Source organism: Homo sapiens, chromosome 22 (genome assembly GCF_000001405.40).
Source record: "Homo sapiens chromosome 22, GRCh38.p14 Primary Assembly".
Classification (NCBI taxonomy): domain Eukaryota; kingdom Metazoa; phylum Chordata; class Mammalia; order Primates; family Hominidae; genus Homo; species Homo sapiens.
In genome coordinates, this window is record NC_000022.11 from 42389512 (window position 1) to 42403368 (window position 13857).

Consider the following 13857-nt stretch of genomic DNA (forward strand, 5'->3'; position numbering starts at 1 on the left):
CTGAACCATCCCCTCCTGGCCCTCCCTTAGGTATGCCTGCTGGGAGATTGCACAGGCCTTGGAATGGGCCACTTGTGGGGCTGGGGCTGGGCTGGGCTGGGGGTTGGGGGCTGGGGTCTGGGAGGGTGCTGGGCTGTGGCTGGGCTGGGTGTTGGGGGCTGGGGGGCTGGGCTGGGCTGGGCTGGGGGCTGGGCTGGGCTGCGGCTGTTTGTCTGGGATCCAGGCCCCCCAGGCCCTTTGCCTCCTGCTGCCCAGTGGGCAATGGTGCTGACCCCAGTGATCATCCAACTGGCAGAGGTGTGAAGTCAATGCTGAGGCCTTCTCCAGGCAGGCTGAGGCCAGAGCTGAAGTTAGTGTCCCTGGGCCTGGACCTAGTCTGAGAGTCCTGGGCATTGGGGGTGATGGGTGAGATCTGGGGGTGTTGTTCGGGAAGGAACACACTCCGTGGAGAAGCAATTCAGCTCTAGACCAGGCAGTGGAAATGGGGAGCCCCTGAAGGCTTTCCTCACCATGCATCAGAGTCGTGTGTTAGAAAGGTCCCTCCGGCAGCAGCTCAGAGCAGGAACGGGAGCAGGAGGGCCTGGAGGCTGAGAGTAAGATCGAGGATGCTGGGCCAGGCTGGGCTGGGACAGAGCCGCCGGGTGGGTGGGGGTTCTGAGTACTGCTGCTGAATGAGGACGCAGATCACATCCTGACGCCTCACATTTGCTACTGAGTGTCCCCACTTCCCTGTGCTGGGCCCCGTGGAAACCCGGACACCCTGGGAGGTAAGAACAGGCTTCTGCCCATCATATAGTAGGTGACCCCTGAGCACTTACTGTGTGCTGGGTGCCAGGAGGCTCTAGATTGACAATAATCACAGTAAAAGGTAGCCATGAAGGCACTGGAGAGACTCAAAGAAGGAAGATAGGGAGGTTGGGATGGGACAGGAAAGGGAAGAGGGGGCAATTTTGAAAGGGAAGTCAGGAAAATGCTGCACTGAAAGGTCCCATGAGGGTAGAGAGCTGAAAGAATGAGGGAGCGGGCTGGGTGTGGTGGCTCACCCCTGTAATCCCAGCACTTTGGGAGGCTGAGGAGGGCAGGTCACCTGAGGTCAGGAGTTCAAGACCAGCCCAGCCAACATGGCAAAACCCCGTCTTTACTAAAAATACAAAAATTAGCCGGGCGTGGTGACGGGTGCCTGTAGTCCCAGATACTCAGGAGGCTGAGGCAGGAGAATCACTTGAACCCGGGAGGTAGAGGTTGCAGTGAGCCAAGATTGTGCCACTGCACTCAAGCCTGGGCAACAGAGTGAGACTCCGTCTCAAAAAAAAAAAAAAAAAAAAGAGGGAGCAGCCGTGGCCAGTGTCAGGAAGGCCACCCTGGGGCGGAGGGAATAGCCAGCACAGAGGCCCAGGGCGCTGACCTTGACCCTTGGTGAGAGGGGAACCTCTGCAGGACCGTGGCGGTCGTAAGAACTGCTTCACAGACCTCCACTTCAAGGGATCGGAACTGACCAAGGGCTCAAAACCGCCCAGCTGCTGGGCCTTGAAACCTGTTACCACATTTGCATGGAGGCCACATGCCTCTGACCTGGGCACTCCTCACACCCCTAGGCAGTGTGACGGTTTAGGGGCTTCCTTCCCTTGGGATCAGACCTGCTCCGCGGAGGGGCTGCTCTCCCAGTCTTCCCCAGCCCCTTCCTCATCTTCTCTCCCAGAGGGTTTCTCTAATAAACCCCTTGCTCACCTAACCCCATCTTGGTGTCTCTGTCTCAGAGGGCTCTGAGCAGAGGGCCATGATCTGTCGATGGCTTACCAGGATCATTGGCTACTGCCAGGTGAAAAATGAACAGGGGTCTTGGGGGTGGGGGTAGGGGGACATGGGGAGGGGAAAGGATAAAAATAGACCAGCTGCTTAGAGACCAACTGCAGGACTCCAGGCAAGAAACGGGAGTGGCTCCCACCAGTGTTAGCGCTGGGGCAGTGAGAAGGGCTGGATTCTGGATACGTTTTGAAGCAAGATTTGTTGATAGATCAGATATGGGCAGTGATTGAAACACAGATGGAGAGAACAACTTCAACATTTCCAGCCTGAGCAACGGGAAGGATGGAGCAGCGATGAGGAGACGTGGGTAAGAGGCACTCAGAGGGGTAAAAAGTTGGAGTTCGAGGCTGGGCGCAGTGGCTCACATCTGCAATCCTAGCACTTTGGGAGGCTGAGGCAGGCGGATCATTTGAGGTCAGGAGTTCGAGACCAGCCTGGCCAACATGTTGAAACCCCATCTCTACTAAAAATACAAAAACTAGCCGGGTGTGGTAGTGCGCACCTGTAATCCCAGCTACTCAGGAGGCTGAGGCAAGAGAATCACTTGAACCTGGGAGGCGGAGGTTGCAGTGAGCCGAGATCACGCCACTGCACTCCAGCCTGGGTGACAAGAGCGAGACTCTGTCTCAAAAAAAAAAAAAAAAAAAAAAAATCGGAGTTTGGTTTGAGAGAGATGTTGTTTAGACATTCAAGTGGGGTTGACTCTGGTGTTCAGAGGAGATGTCTGGGCTGGAAATATAAACTTGGGAGTTGTCAGGATATAGATGGTCTTCAGAACCTTGTGGCTAAATGACATCACCCAGTGAAGGGAATGAAGAAGAAAAAGGGTCCCAGGATGGGCTCCAACATTTACTCCAATCTTTACAGTTCAGGGTTCCACTGGTTCTGGAAGAGGAACAAGTGAAAGGGGCTGAGGAGGTGTGATGGTGAGGCAGGGGAGGATCAGGAGAGTGTGGAATGTTCTGGAAGCAAGTGAAGAAAGTGTGTTTGAGGAGGAGGGAGAGCTCAAGGGTGTCAGATGCCGTTGATTCATCAAGGAAGGTGAGGACCGAGAACTGCCCATTGGTTTAACAATGTGGAGTCAATGGTGACCCTGAGAAGGAAGGTTCTGGCGAAGAGGAGGGTTGCAAGCCTGTAGAGAGAAACAGAAAGGAGAGGGAGAGGGGCTGAAGGTGAGAGGGCTCTGTCAACGCTGGAGGAACTCTGTTCTAAGGTGCTGTGGAGAAACGGCAGGGAGCTGGAGGGGGATGCGGGCTCAAGGAATTTCAGATGGAAGAAATCACAGCATGTTTGCAAGCTGTAAACCAATATTGTACTGTTAACCCTGTTTTGCAGATTATGGAACTAAGACTCAGAAAGTTTAAGTAGCAGACCCAGTAAGCAAAAGAACAAGGCTCGGATGGGGGTTTTGGTGGGTTTGTCTGACCCACCCCGAATTCATGCTTTTAATATGTCAAGTTTTTTCTTCTATTTTTAAATTTATTTATTTTTATTTATTTTGTGACAGAGTCTCGCTCTGTCACCCAGGCTGGAGTGCAGTGGCATAATCTCGGCTCACTGCAACTTCTGCCTCCCAGGTTCAAGTGATTCTCCTGTCTCAGCCTCCCAAGCAGCTGAGGCAACAGGTGTGCACCACCATGCCTGGCTAATTTTTGTATTTTTAGTAGAGAGGGGGTTTCATCATGTTGGCCAGGCTGGTCTTGAACTCCTGACCTCAGGTGACTCACCCACCTCAGCCTCCCAAAGAATAGGTCAAGTTTTTTTTAAAACAAATTGAAGTAGTAAAGCTTTTTTTTTCATGTCATAATATGCCATGAGCACTCTTCCACATGAATAAAAAGCAAGAATTGACAATAATTAAAAGAAGAAATAGACAAATCCACAATCATACTGGCAGATTTTAACTAACTTCTGTTAAAAATTGAGAAAACAGGCCAAAAAAATCAGTAAGAACCAGATGTGGTGGTATGCACCTGTAATTCCAGCTAATCGGGAGGTTGTGGTAGAAAGAGCACTTGAACCCAGAAGTTCAAGACCAGCTGGGCCACATAGTGAGAACTCATGAAAAAAATTATTTATTTATTTATTTATTTTATTTTTTATTTTTTTGAGTCGGAGTCTCGCTCTGTGGCCCAGGCTGGAGTGCAGTGGCATGATCTCAGCTCACAGCAACCTCCGCCTCCCAGGTTCAAGCGATTCTCCTGCCTCGGCCTCCTGAGTATCTGGGACTACAGGCGCCCGCCACCACGCCTGACTAATTTTTTTTTTTTTTGTATTTTTAGTAGAGACGGGGTTTCAGCATGTTGGCCAGGATGGTCTCGATCTCTTGACCTCGTGATCTGCCCACCTCAGCTTCCCAAAGTGCTGGGATTACAGGCATGAGCCACTGCACCCAGCCAAAAAAAAAAAAAAGTTTAATTAGTAAGGATCAATTGTTAATCCTTAATGAGAGTACTCATTCAACAGTTTTGAATGTCTAATTATATGATGGCTATGTGGTGTTTTTATTTTTACCTAATTCCACAGTGATCAGAGAGTATGTTCTGTATGGTTTTTAATCCTTTTGAATTTTTTGAGACTTGCTTTATGGCTCAGTTTATATTCTGTGTGCACTTGAAAATAACACGTACCATGCCTGGTTGAATGAGTATTCCATATATGTCAATTAGGCCAAGTTTGTTGATCATGTTGATAAAATATTCCATATCCTTATTTTTATTTATTTATTTATTTTTGAGACGGAGTTTCGCTCTTGCTGCCCAGGCTGGAGTGCAATGGCGCAATCTTGGTTCACCGCAACCTCCGCCTCCCGGGTTCAAGCAATTCTCCTGCCTCAGCCTCCCGAGTAGCTGGGATTACAGGCATGTGCCACCATGCCCGGCTAATTTTTTTGTATTTTTAGTAGAGATGGGGTTTCTCCATGTTGGTCAGGCTGGTCTCAAACTCCCCACCTCAGGTGATCCACCAGCCTCTGCCTCCCAAAGTGCTGGGATTACAGGGGTAAGCCACTGCGCTCAGCCCTCCATGTCCTTATTGATCCTTATTAATTTAAAAAAAAATTTTAATGGGGTCTTGCTATGTTGCCAAGACTGTCTCAGACTCCTGGGCTCAAGCAATCCTCCTACCTCAGCCTCCTGAGTAGCTGGGATTATAGATGTGCGCCACCACATTACATTAAGCAAATCACATTTAAGTAACCAGTGAGGAAAGGAAGAATTCTCAATGGAAATTTTAAACTGAAAGATAATGAAAACATGACATATCAAAACTTGTGGGATGCAGCTAAAGCCATATCAAAGGGAAGTTCATACTGTAAGTGCACAAATTAGAAAAGAAGAAAGATAGGAAATTACTTAAGTATCCACCCAAAGAAGGAAGACTATATTTTAAAAAAAACCTTCCCCGGAGACTGGGAAACAAGACAAGGATACCTGCTATCACCACCTCTATTCACCATCATTGTATCAGAGGCCTCAGGCAGTGCAATAAAGTGGAAAAAAAATAAGGTATAAGGATTGGGCCGGGTGCGGTGGCTCACGCCTGTAATCCCAGCACTTTGAGAGGCCAAGGTGGGAGGATCACTTGAGCCCAGGAACTCAAAACCAGCCTGGGCAATATAGTGAGACCTTGTCTCTACAAAAAATTAAAAAACTCAAAACCAGCCTGGGCAATATAGTGAGACCTTGTCTCTACAAAAAATTAAAAAATTAGCCAAGTGCAGTGTCTCACACTCATAGTCCCAGCCACCCGGGAGGCTGAGGTGGGAAGATAGCTGGAGACCGGGAGGTGGAGGTTGAAGTAAGCCAAGATCACACCACTGCACTCCAGCCTGAGTGACAGAGAAAGACCCTGTCTCAAAAAAAAAAATAAAACAGGCCAAGCGTGGTGGCTCACGCCTGTAATCCCAGCACTTTAGGAGGCCGAGGCGGGTGGATCACCTGAAGTCAGGAGTTCGAGACCAGCCTGGCCAACATGGCAAAACCCCATTTCTACTAAAAATACAAAAAAATTAGCCAGGTATGGTGGTGGTCTCCTGTAATCCCAGCTACTCAGGAGGCTGAGACAGGAGAATCGCTTGAACAGGGGAGACAGAGGTTGAAGTGAGCTGAGATTGCACCGTTGCACTCCAGCCTGGGCGACAAAAGCAAGACTCTGTCTCAAAAAAAAATAATAATAAATATAAATAATAAAAATAAAATAAAATAATGAGGATTGGAAAGGAAAAAGTAAAACTTGCATTATTCATAGATGACATGACTGGGTTCGTAGAAAATCCAAAGGAAGGCCAGGCGCGGTGGCTCACACCTGTAATCCCAGCACTTTGGGAGGCTGAGGTGGGCGGACCACGAGGTCAGGAGATCGAGACCATCCTGGCTAACATGGTGAAACCCCGTCTCTACTAAAAATACAAAAAAATTAGCCGGGCGCAGTGGCGGGCACCTGTAGTCCCAGCTACTTGGGAGGCTGAGGCAAGAGAATGGCATGAACCTGGGAGGCAGAGCTTGCAGTGAGCCAAGATCGTGCCACTGCACTCCAGCCTGGGCGACAGAGCGAGACTCTGCTCAAAAAAAAAAAAAAAAGAAAGAAAAGAAGAAAAGTAAAGAAAGTGAAAATGGGGACAAAACCTTTACCCTAAAACCTTATCAAGAGGATTGATAAAATATAACAGGTGTAAAGTCCTGCCATGATCCCTGGCACATAGTAGGTACACAACAAATGGCTCTTGATACCATCATCGTTGTGACTGTCACTCTTCTCCGCCCAGGCCCAATCCCAGTTGGTAGACCCTTATGTCAAGGGCTTGGCAAAGTTCTATGACCTCTACTCTCCAAGCTGGCCTGCAACTCTGCAGGCAGTTAGGTCTGTTCACCTCACTCCAGAGAAGTCGGCCTGCATCCTAGAGGCTGTGAAACCCAGGCAAAAAGAAGCTCTGCTCAAAAGAGCTCTTCCGTTAAACATAATCTCATAGAAAGATATTTATTCACGTGGAAAGATGTTCATGAAAAAAATAGCTGTATTGCTCCAATTAAAAAAGAAGTATGTGTGAGTGCGTATGGGTTTCTTTGTATATATTTATAGAAAAAATACTGGAAAATATATTAGTCAATGTTCTTAGTATTTATCCTGGAAGAAGATGGGATTAGGATGCTGGTTATTTTCTTCTTTTATATATATATATATATATCTCACATATGTGTATGCTGGGGGAGAGGGAAAGTGAGAGTGAGAGGGAGAGAGAGAAATATTTTCATCTAACAGTTGACACCAGAATCCCTGGTAGGGAAAATACCACTATGAGATGCTGGGAGACAGGAGAGAGTATGAGGAAGTCTCCGGCCACGTGCAAAACCGTGGCTGACAGAAACTCCCCAGGATGGGGAAGCTGAAAGCCCTTTGAGAACCATCACATTCCACTTGGAACTGTTGGCACTGCCCCACAGGGACATTTCCTTGGCCTCGCTGCCACCCGCCCCATCCTCAGCAGACAAGGCTGTATCCTGGGCGTCCTCTGTGTGGTGTTCTGTGGCGTTATTAGGGTGAGTCAATGTTGTGGGAACAGAAACGACAGCACGTACGAGCAGAACCCAAGCACCATCGCAGCCAGGGGGCGTGCACCTGGGGGGCGTGCACCTGGGGAGCGTGCACCTGGGAACCTGCAGGGCCCCAGAAGGGCTGTGTGCCTTCCAGGCGTGGAGTGGGGAGCCCACCTGGCGGTGCCAGATCTCACGAGATGGGGACCCCAGCTGGCACTGGGTGGCATTTCTTCTTCCCTTGCTCTACTTGGAGCATATGTTGTTCGTGGAGCCGAAAGGAACGTAGCAAAAAGAGTGTTCCCAGCCCTCCCCGGCCCCAGCCGCTGGGCAGAGGGCTGCATGCTGGCTGGCTGGCCAGGCTGGGGCAGCCTGGCCTCCTCGGCCCCTACGCTGCACCCACCTTCCACTTCCTGGAGATGCACCCACATCTCCAGGAAAATTGTTTCAGAAAATGCCTACAACACAGCAGAGAGTGGAACAAACAGGGTCCCAACGCATGTCTGCGCTGTGATTGTGACCATGTAAGATAATATCTGCATGTGCCAGGAGGGGAGAGAGCAAATCATTACAAATCACTGATGTGTTAAGGGCGTGGGATGGCGCCTGACCTCTTCCTCTTTTTGTGATTTTTGTTGTTTATACAATAAAAACAGGAGGAAGTGGTAAGAGCTGTTTGGTCAGATGAAGGAGCTTTCTTCATTCTTCGCCAACTTGTGCCGTCACTACCCCTTGTCCCAGAATGAGGATCCATGCCAAGGAGGGGAACAGGGCATGGGGGGCACCTGACATTCGTATGCCTTCCAGGAGCCCTGCACGTGTCATCTCTTTTCAGCTTCAGAGAAATTCCATGAGGTAAGAATTGTTATCCCCATTTTATAGATGAGGAACTTGAGGCTAGGAGAGTCCACACAGCTGGTACAAGACTGAGCCAGACAGACCCTGGTACAAGACAGACTCTGCCTAAGGCCTGAAAGAGGTGGAGGGAGCCGGGGGCCCCGGGACTCACTGTGTAGACAGATTCTGAAGGATGCTGCTTGGGGCTGCTGGCAGATCTTGGATCTGGGCACTTCCTGGTGGGGTCCTTCCCTGGACCCCGCATCCGCTTCTGTAGGGAGAAAGGAGTCAGGGCCAGGGATGAGTGGCTCTCGTCTTCCTCCCCGCACAGACCCCCCAGGGGAAAGGATGGCAGATTGTCATGAGGTCACACAGAGATTCATCACTCAGTCCCTCCCACTCACCCTCTCCAGGGAAACATGGCAAATGCCTACAAGACCTGCATCAAGCCATTCCTGCACCTGGAGACACAGGAAATGGAAAAGGCCCACACGAGGTGATGTCCCTGGACAGAGCACCTGGCTGGTAGGGACCCAAGCTACTGGGACCAGTGCCAGTGGGGCAGGGCCCCAGGGACCGAGCCAGCAGCCATGGGTGGGCCCCTAGTGGTGCCAGCCAGGTCCAGTGTCCAGTCTTCCTCTGCTGTCACTGGCTCTGGCCTCGAGCGAGCCAGTTCCCCTCTGGGCCTTGGTTTTATTTATTATTATTATTATTATTATTATTATTATTATTATTATTATTATTTGAGATGGAGTCTCACTCTGTTGCCCAGGCTGGGGTGCAATGGTGCAATCTCAGCTTACTGCAACCTCTGCCTCCCGGGTTCAAGCGATTCTCCCGCCTCAGCCTCCTGAGCAGCTGGGACTACGGGCATGTGTGCCACCACGCCCGGCTAATTTTGTATTTTTAGTAGAGATGAGGTGTCACCATGTTGGACAGGCTGGTCTCGAACTCCTGACCTCAGGTGATCCACCGCCTTGGCGTCCCAAAATGCTGGGATTACAGGTGTGAGCCACTGCACCCGGCCATGGGTCTTGGTTTCTTCAGCAATAACCCTCTTTTGTGAGACTGATGCAAAGTTACAATGAGGGCACAAGGAGTAGGTGCCTGGTGCTTAGGAGGTGCTGCTTAGAAGGCCCTTGCTCAACCAACACACACTTGATAGCACTGGCAAGCCAGGCAGTGTGAGGAGGTGGGCACCGTCCCTACCCTCCTGGAGTTTAGGGACCAGTGAAGAGATGGAGGATGAACCAGTGGTTTTGCCGAAACATGGTATGTGGGTTGATTGCCAGGCACAGAGCCTCTGGCACATGAGGAGGAAACCAATGCCCCACTGGGCAGAAGCGATATTGAAGGTGAAATCCTGAGGGCAAGAAGTTCATTTAGCAAAAGAGGGAGGAGGGAGCCTCAGGTAGAGGGAACAGCAGGTGCCAAGGCCTGGAGGTCTGGAGGCACGTGGAGAAGGTCAGCATAGGCCAGGCACGGTGGCTCATGCCTGTAATCCCAGCACTTTGGGACTCGGAGGCCGAGTCGGGTGGATCACCTGAGATCAGGAGTTTGAGACCAGCCTGGCCAACATGGCAACACCCCATCTCTACTAAAAATATAAAAACTAGCTGGGCATGGTTGTGGGCGCCTGTAATCCCAGCTACTCGGGAGGGTGAGGCAGGAGAATCGCTTGAACCCAGGGGGCGGAGGTTGCAGTAAATCGAGATCACACCATTGCACTCCAGCCTGGGAGACAGAGCGAGATCCCATCTCAAAAAAAAAAAAAAAAAGAAAGAAAGAAAAAAAGAGAGAGAGAGAGAAGGTCAGTGTGTGGCCCGAGAGAGGAGCCTGCCTGGGAGGGGCAGGCGTGGCGTGGCCGTGCTGGCTGCATGAAGAGCATAGGAAACATCTGAGGGCTCGAAGTGGGAGCGCCAGGGTCAGAGCTGTGCTGGAGAAAGCTCCCGCTGGTCACAGTGGAGGCTGGGCCGGGCCTGCTGGGAAGGTGAAGGCTGGGGAGTCACGAGGCGGTACAGGCAGCCCTCTGGAGGCAGAGGGAGGTGGCCTGGACATCCCCCCTCATTGCAGGCACCACACGGCCACTGCTGACAGTGGAGCCACAACTGCCTCATCTCAGGGCAGAAGCTAATTAAAAACCCTGGCCTCCTGCCAAACCCCAGCCCATTTACTGCGGGATTAGCTGCTGAGAGCTACTTAACTCGCAGGCAGAAGCCGGCGCCACCCCCAGTCACAGCACATAATGGCTCAGAGCATGGAGCCAGGTAGGGTTCTCAACACCTGACCTGCCTTCTCTCACGCGCCCTCCACAAACCGCAGGTGAATCTTTCCATCCTCTCTGTTCTGTACATGAGGGAGTGAAGGCTCAGAGAAGGCAGGTGACTTGCCGAGGCCACGCAGCCAGGAAGTGGCAGAGGCAAGATTTGAATCCAGGTCTGTGTTTCACCAAGATATTGACGAGACAGGAGCTGGAGTTTTGACTCCTCTGCTTAGTTAGAACGTGTGAGCCTCACAGACACAGAGCAGTGCTGGCGTCTGTGTAGCACTTGACAGTTTACGAAGTCTGCTGGGACTTGTCCTTATTTTCATTTAATTCTCATAACAGCCAGAGGAGGTGGGCATGGAATTGCCCGTTTAACAGACAGGGGGCCAGGTGCAGTGGTTCATGTCTGTAATACTAGCACTTTGGGAAGCCAAGGTGGGTGGATCACTTGAGGTCGGGAGTTCGAGACCAGCCTGGCCAACATAGTGAAACCCCATCTCTACTAAAAATACAAAAATTAGCCATGTGTGGTGGTGAGCACCTGTAGTCCCAGCTACTCGGGAGGCTGAGGCAGAGAATTGCTTGAACCTGGGAGGTGGAGGTTGCAGTGAGCTGAGATTGCACCATTGCACTCCAGCCTGGGCAAAAAGAGTGAGACTCTATCTCAAAAACAAAACAAAACAAAAACAGGAGGGGGAAGCTGAGGCTTGTCCAGCTGGTAAAAGGCTGTCCTTGGATCAAACCCAGATGTGTGTCCTCAAATCCAGGGCTGCCTCCCCTGCACCACCTGCTTCTTGAGGGCACCGTCACAGTCAGAGGTAGTGGTCTGCCCCAGTGCACCTCAGTGCCTCCTCTTGTCAAGGCAGCTGGGGACCTAGTGTCTGTCTCTTCGCTGAGCTGGCCGACCTGGACACCACCAGGGCTGAGGATGTGAGCTCATGGGCAGTGGGTCTCCCGCGAGGCTGACCTGGGCTCAGCTCTTTGGACCTGCCGGGGCTGGAAAGCAAGGTCCCTGGAGCTCAGTTAGCTCTTGGTGTCCCTCCCTGGCCCTCCTACGCGCTGGGCCTGGGCTGGGCATGGAAGACCCTGTGGTGAACAAGACCCACGCCTGGCCTCGAGGCTCTGTCAGTGAGACTGATGGGGTTGCCAGAGAAGTGAGTGCCACTGGGGATCCCAAGAAGGGGCCCCAAGTCTGCAGGGGACTGAAGCAGACGTCTCAGGGCCATCTTGCGCTGTCTTCTGAAGACACGGGAGGAACTTCAAAGCTCTCCCAGTCTAAGAAGGTATCTTAGACATTGCGAACAGCTCGGGGGCAGGAGTGTCATGGATGCACAGAAGAATGGACAGTTAGACAGAAAGGAGGAGATGAGCCACAGGCTGGCACGGGTGGGGCCACGAAAGGCCAAATGCCATGGTGTCTACCCGAAGGGCAGTGGGGGCCACCAGGGAAGTGGCTGCAGTTGCATTGTATAAACCTCCCTCTGCTGCCACAGATGCGGGGTGGACTGTAGGTTGGGGCTGGCAAGGGGAGGAGGCAGGATCTCCAGGAGAGAGGCCTCCTGGGGGTGCTGGGGAGGCTGGGCCGGGGCAAGGGGTCCCGTGGAGGAGGGAGGGAGCCTTCTTGAAAACTCACATTACATTATGGGGGTGGGGCTGCTTTGCTCCCTGCCCATCCCTGCCCACTGAGCGCTCTGTCCTCGGGGCCAACATTTGCCTTTCAACTGTGATTTTCAGATGAATCACGAGTGTGGCTTCTCCCAACACGCCCAGCTCTCTGTGGTCCAAGTCTCCCCTCCCTAGTAGATGGTGGTGGGACAGGGAGTCACCAGGCCTGGGCTGAGATCCAGCTGTGCACACCAGGGGTGCTGCCATCAGCAGCTCAGGAAGCCTGTTGGGCCTCAGCTTCCTGCTCTGTAAAATGGGAGCAATAATGTGGCCTTGCCCACCTCACATCCTGGCCACTTCTGCCTTATCTTCCAGGTCCTCGCATGCATTTATCCTGTCATTCCTTCCACAAGCATGCACTGCGTGCCAGGCTCCCCCAGGTGCTGGGGACACTAAGTCCCCCGCCTACAGGGGCTATGCTATGGCAGGACAGACAGCATAAAGACAGACGCCAGGTTGTGACAGAAGCCAGGGTGTGGCAGCAGAGACCTATATTCCAGGAGAGGGTGATGGAGCCCAGCCTGGGACGCCTAGGAAGCCCCGGGGAAGGGGCTGGATCCGGGACAGACTGAGTGCAGGGCTTGCTGAGGGATGGATGTGGGGAGAGAGAAGAGCCGAGCACAACTCCAAGGCTTGGGCCTGAGCATCTGGAGCACGTGTGCTGGGACGCAGAGGACTCGGGGACTGAGCACTGCTCTGGACGCATGAGGTGGCGGCACCCTCAGGCCCCCACGTGGGGCTGTGGACCATGGTCTGGAGCTTGGGGAGGGGTCTGAGCAGCAGCATCTGTGGACAGGGAATGCCACCCGCAGAGCAGAAACTTTGCTGCAGGAGCACACACAGAGCGCGGAAGGGCTCGGAGGAAGGGGCCCGGGATGTGCCAGAATTTAGAGGTCACCAAGAGGGGGGTGACCCAGCAAAGCTGCCTATGGGGTGGGACAGAACAAGGAGGGCATGTTGTCCTGGTACCAAGAGGCGGAGTGTGCTGTGAGGCGGGAGGCCTGCTGTGCCCAATGCCATGAGAGGATGAGGATGAGGACGGGCCAGCCGCAGGGAGCGCCTGCTCTGGGAACACCACTTTGACCCCTCAAGTCAGGCAGGAGCCCCCAAACCTACTCTCATGGCAGGAATCATGGCGATTGCTGCCTTCTCAAGAGAGAGACCTCTCCTGGTACTCAAAGCGCCTCAGACCCACACCGGTCCCTCTGTGCCTTCTTTTTTTTTTTTTTTTTTTTTTGAGATGGAGTTTTGCTCTGTCACCCAGGCTGGAGTGCAGTAGCGCAATCCAGGCTCACTGCATCCTCCGCCTCCCAGGTTTAAGCAATTCTCTGCCTCAGCCTCCCGAGTAACTGGGATTACAGGAGCCTACCACCATGCCCGGCTAATTTTTTTTTTGTATTTTTAGTAGAGACAGGGTTTCACCATCTTGGCCAGGCTGATCTTGAACTCCTGACCTTGTGACCACCCACCTCGGACTCCCAAAGTGTTGGGATTATAGTCGTGAGCCACCACGCCCGGCCCCCTCTGTGCCTTCTACAACCCCATGACACAGCTCCTCTGTTTGGCATCCCCACTGGGGAAACCGAAGCCTGGAGCACCCAGCTCAAGCTCGCAGAGGTTGGTAAGTGGCAGAGCTGGAACTGAACGAAGGCCCAACTCTGTGCTTTTAAGCCCCCTGCTGATTTCTACTTCCTTTCTTCCTGAACAGGTCATGACAGCATAACAGCTGATCTCCCCAGCTAAGAGTTTAGC

General features: G+C 52.3%; 1 protein-coding gene across 3 annotated transcripts in view, besides 1 other annotated feature; it reads right to left on the reverse strand.

The window, feature by feature from the left end:
* NFAM1 (NFAT activating protein with ITAM motif 1) overlaps positions 1-13857 on the reverse strand; it is a 57580-nt gene that overhangs the window by 9105 nt on the left and 34618 nt on the right. For all 3 annotated transcript variants that reach the window (NM_001371362.1, NM_001318323.3, NM_145912.8), the window contains one exon: positions 8347-8445. In NM_001371362.1, coding sequence (NP_001358291.1) covers positions 8347-8445 — 99 coding nt within the window. The remainder of the gene's footprint in view (positions 1-8346; positions 8446-13857) is intronic.
* Positions 7312-7606: a silencer, noted in NCBI's record as "tiled region #1538; K562 Repressive non-DNase unmatched - State 13:Ctcf". NCBI's record gives its function as "represses a minimal TATA promoter and a strong SV40 promoter by Sharpr-MPRA in K562 cells {active_cell/tissue: K562}" and the evidence as "EXISTENCE:reporter gene assay evidence [ECO:0000049][PMID:27701403]".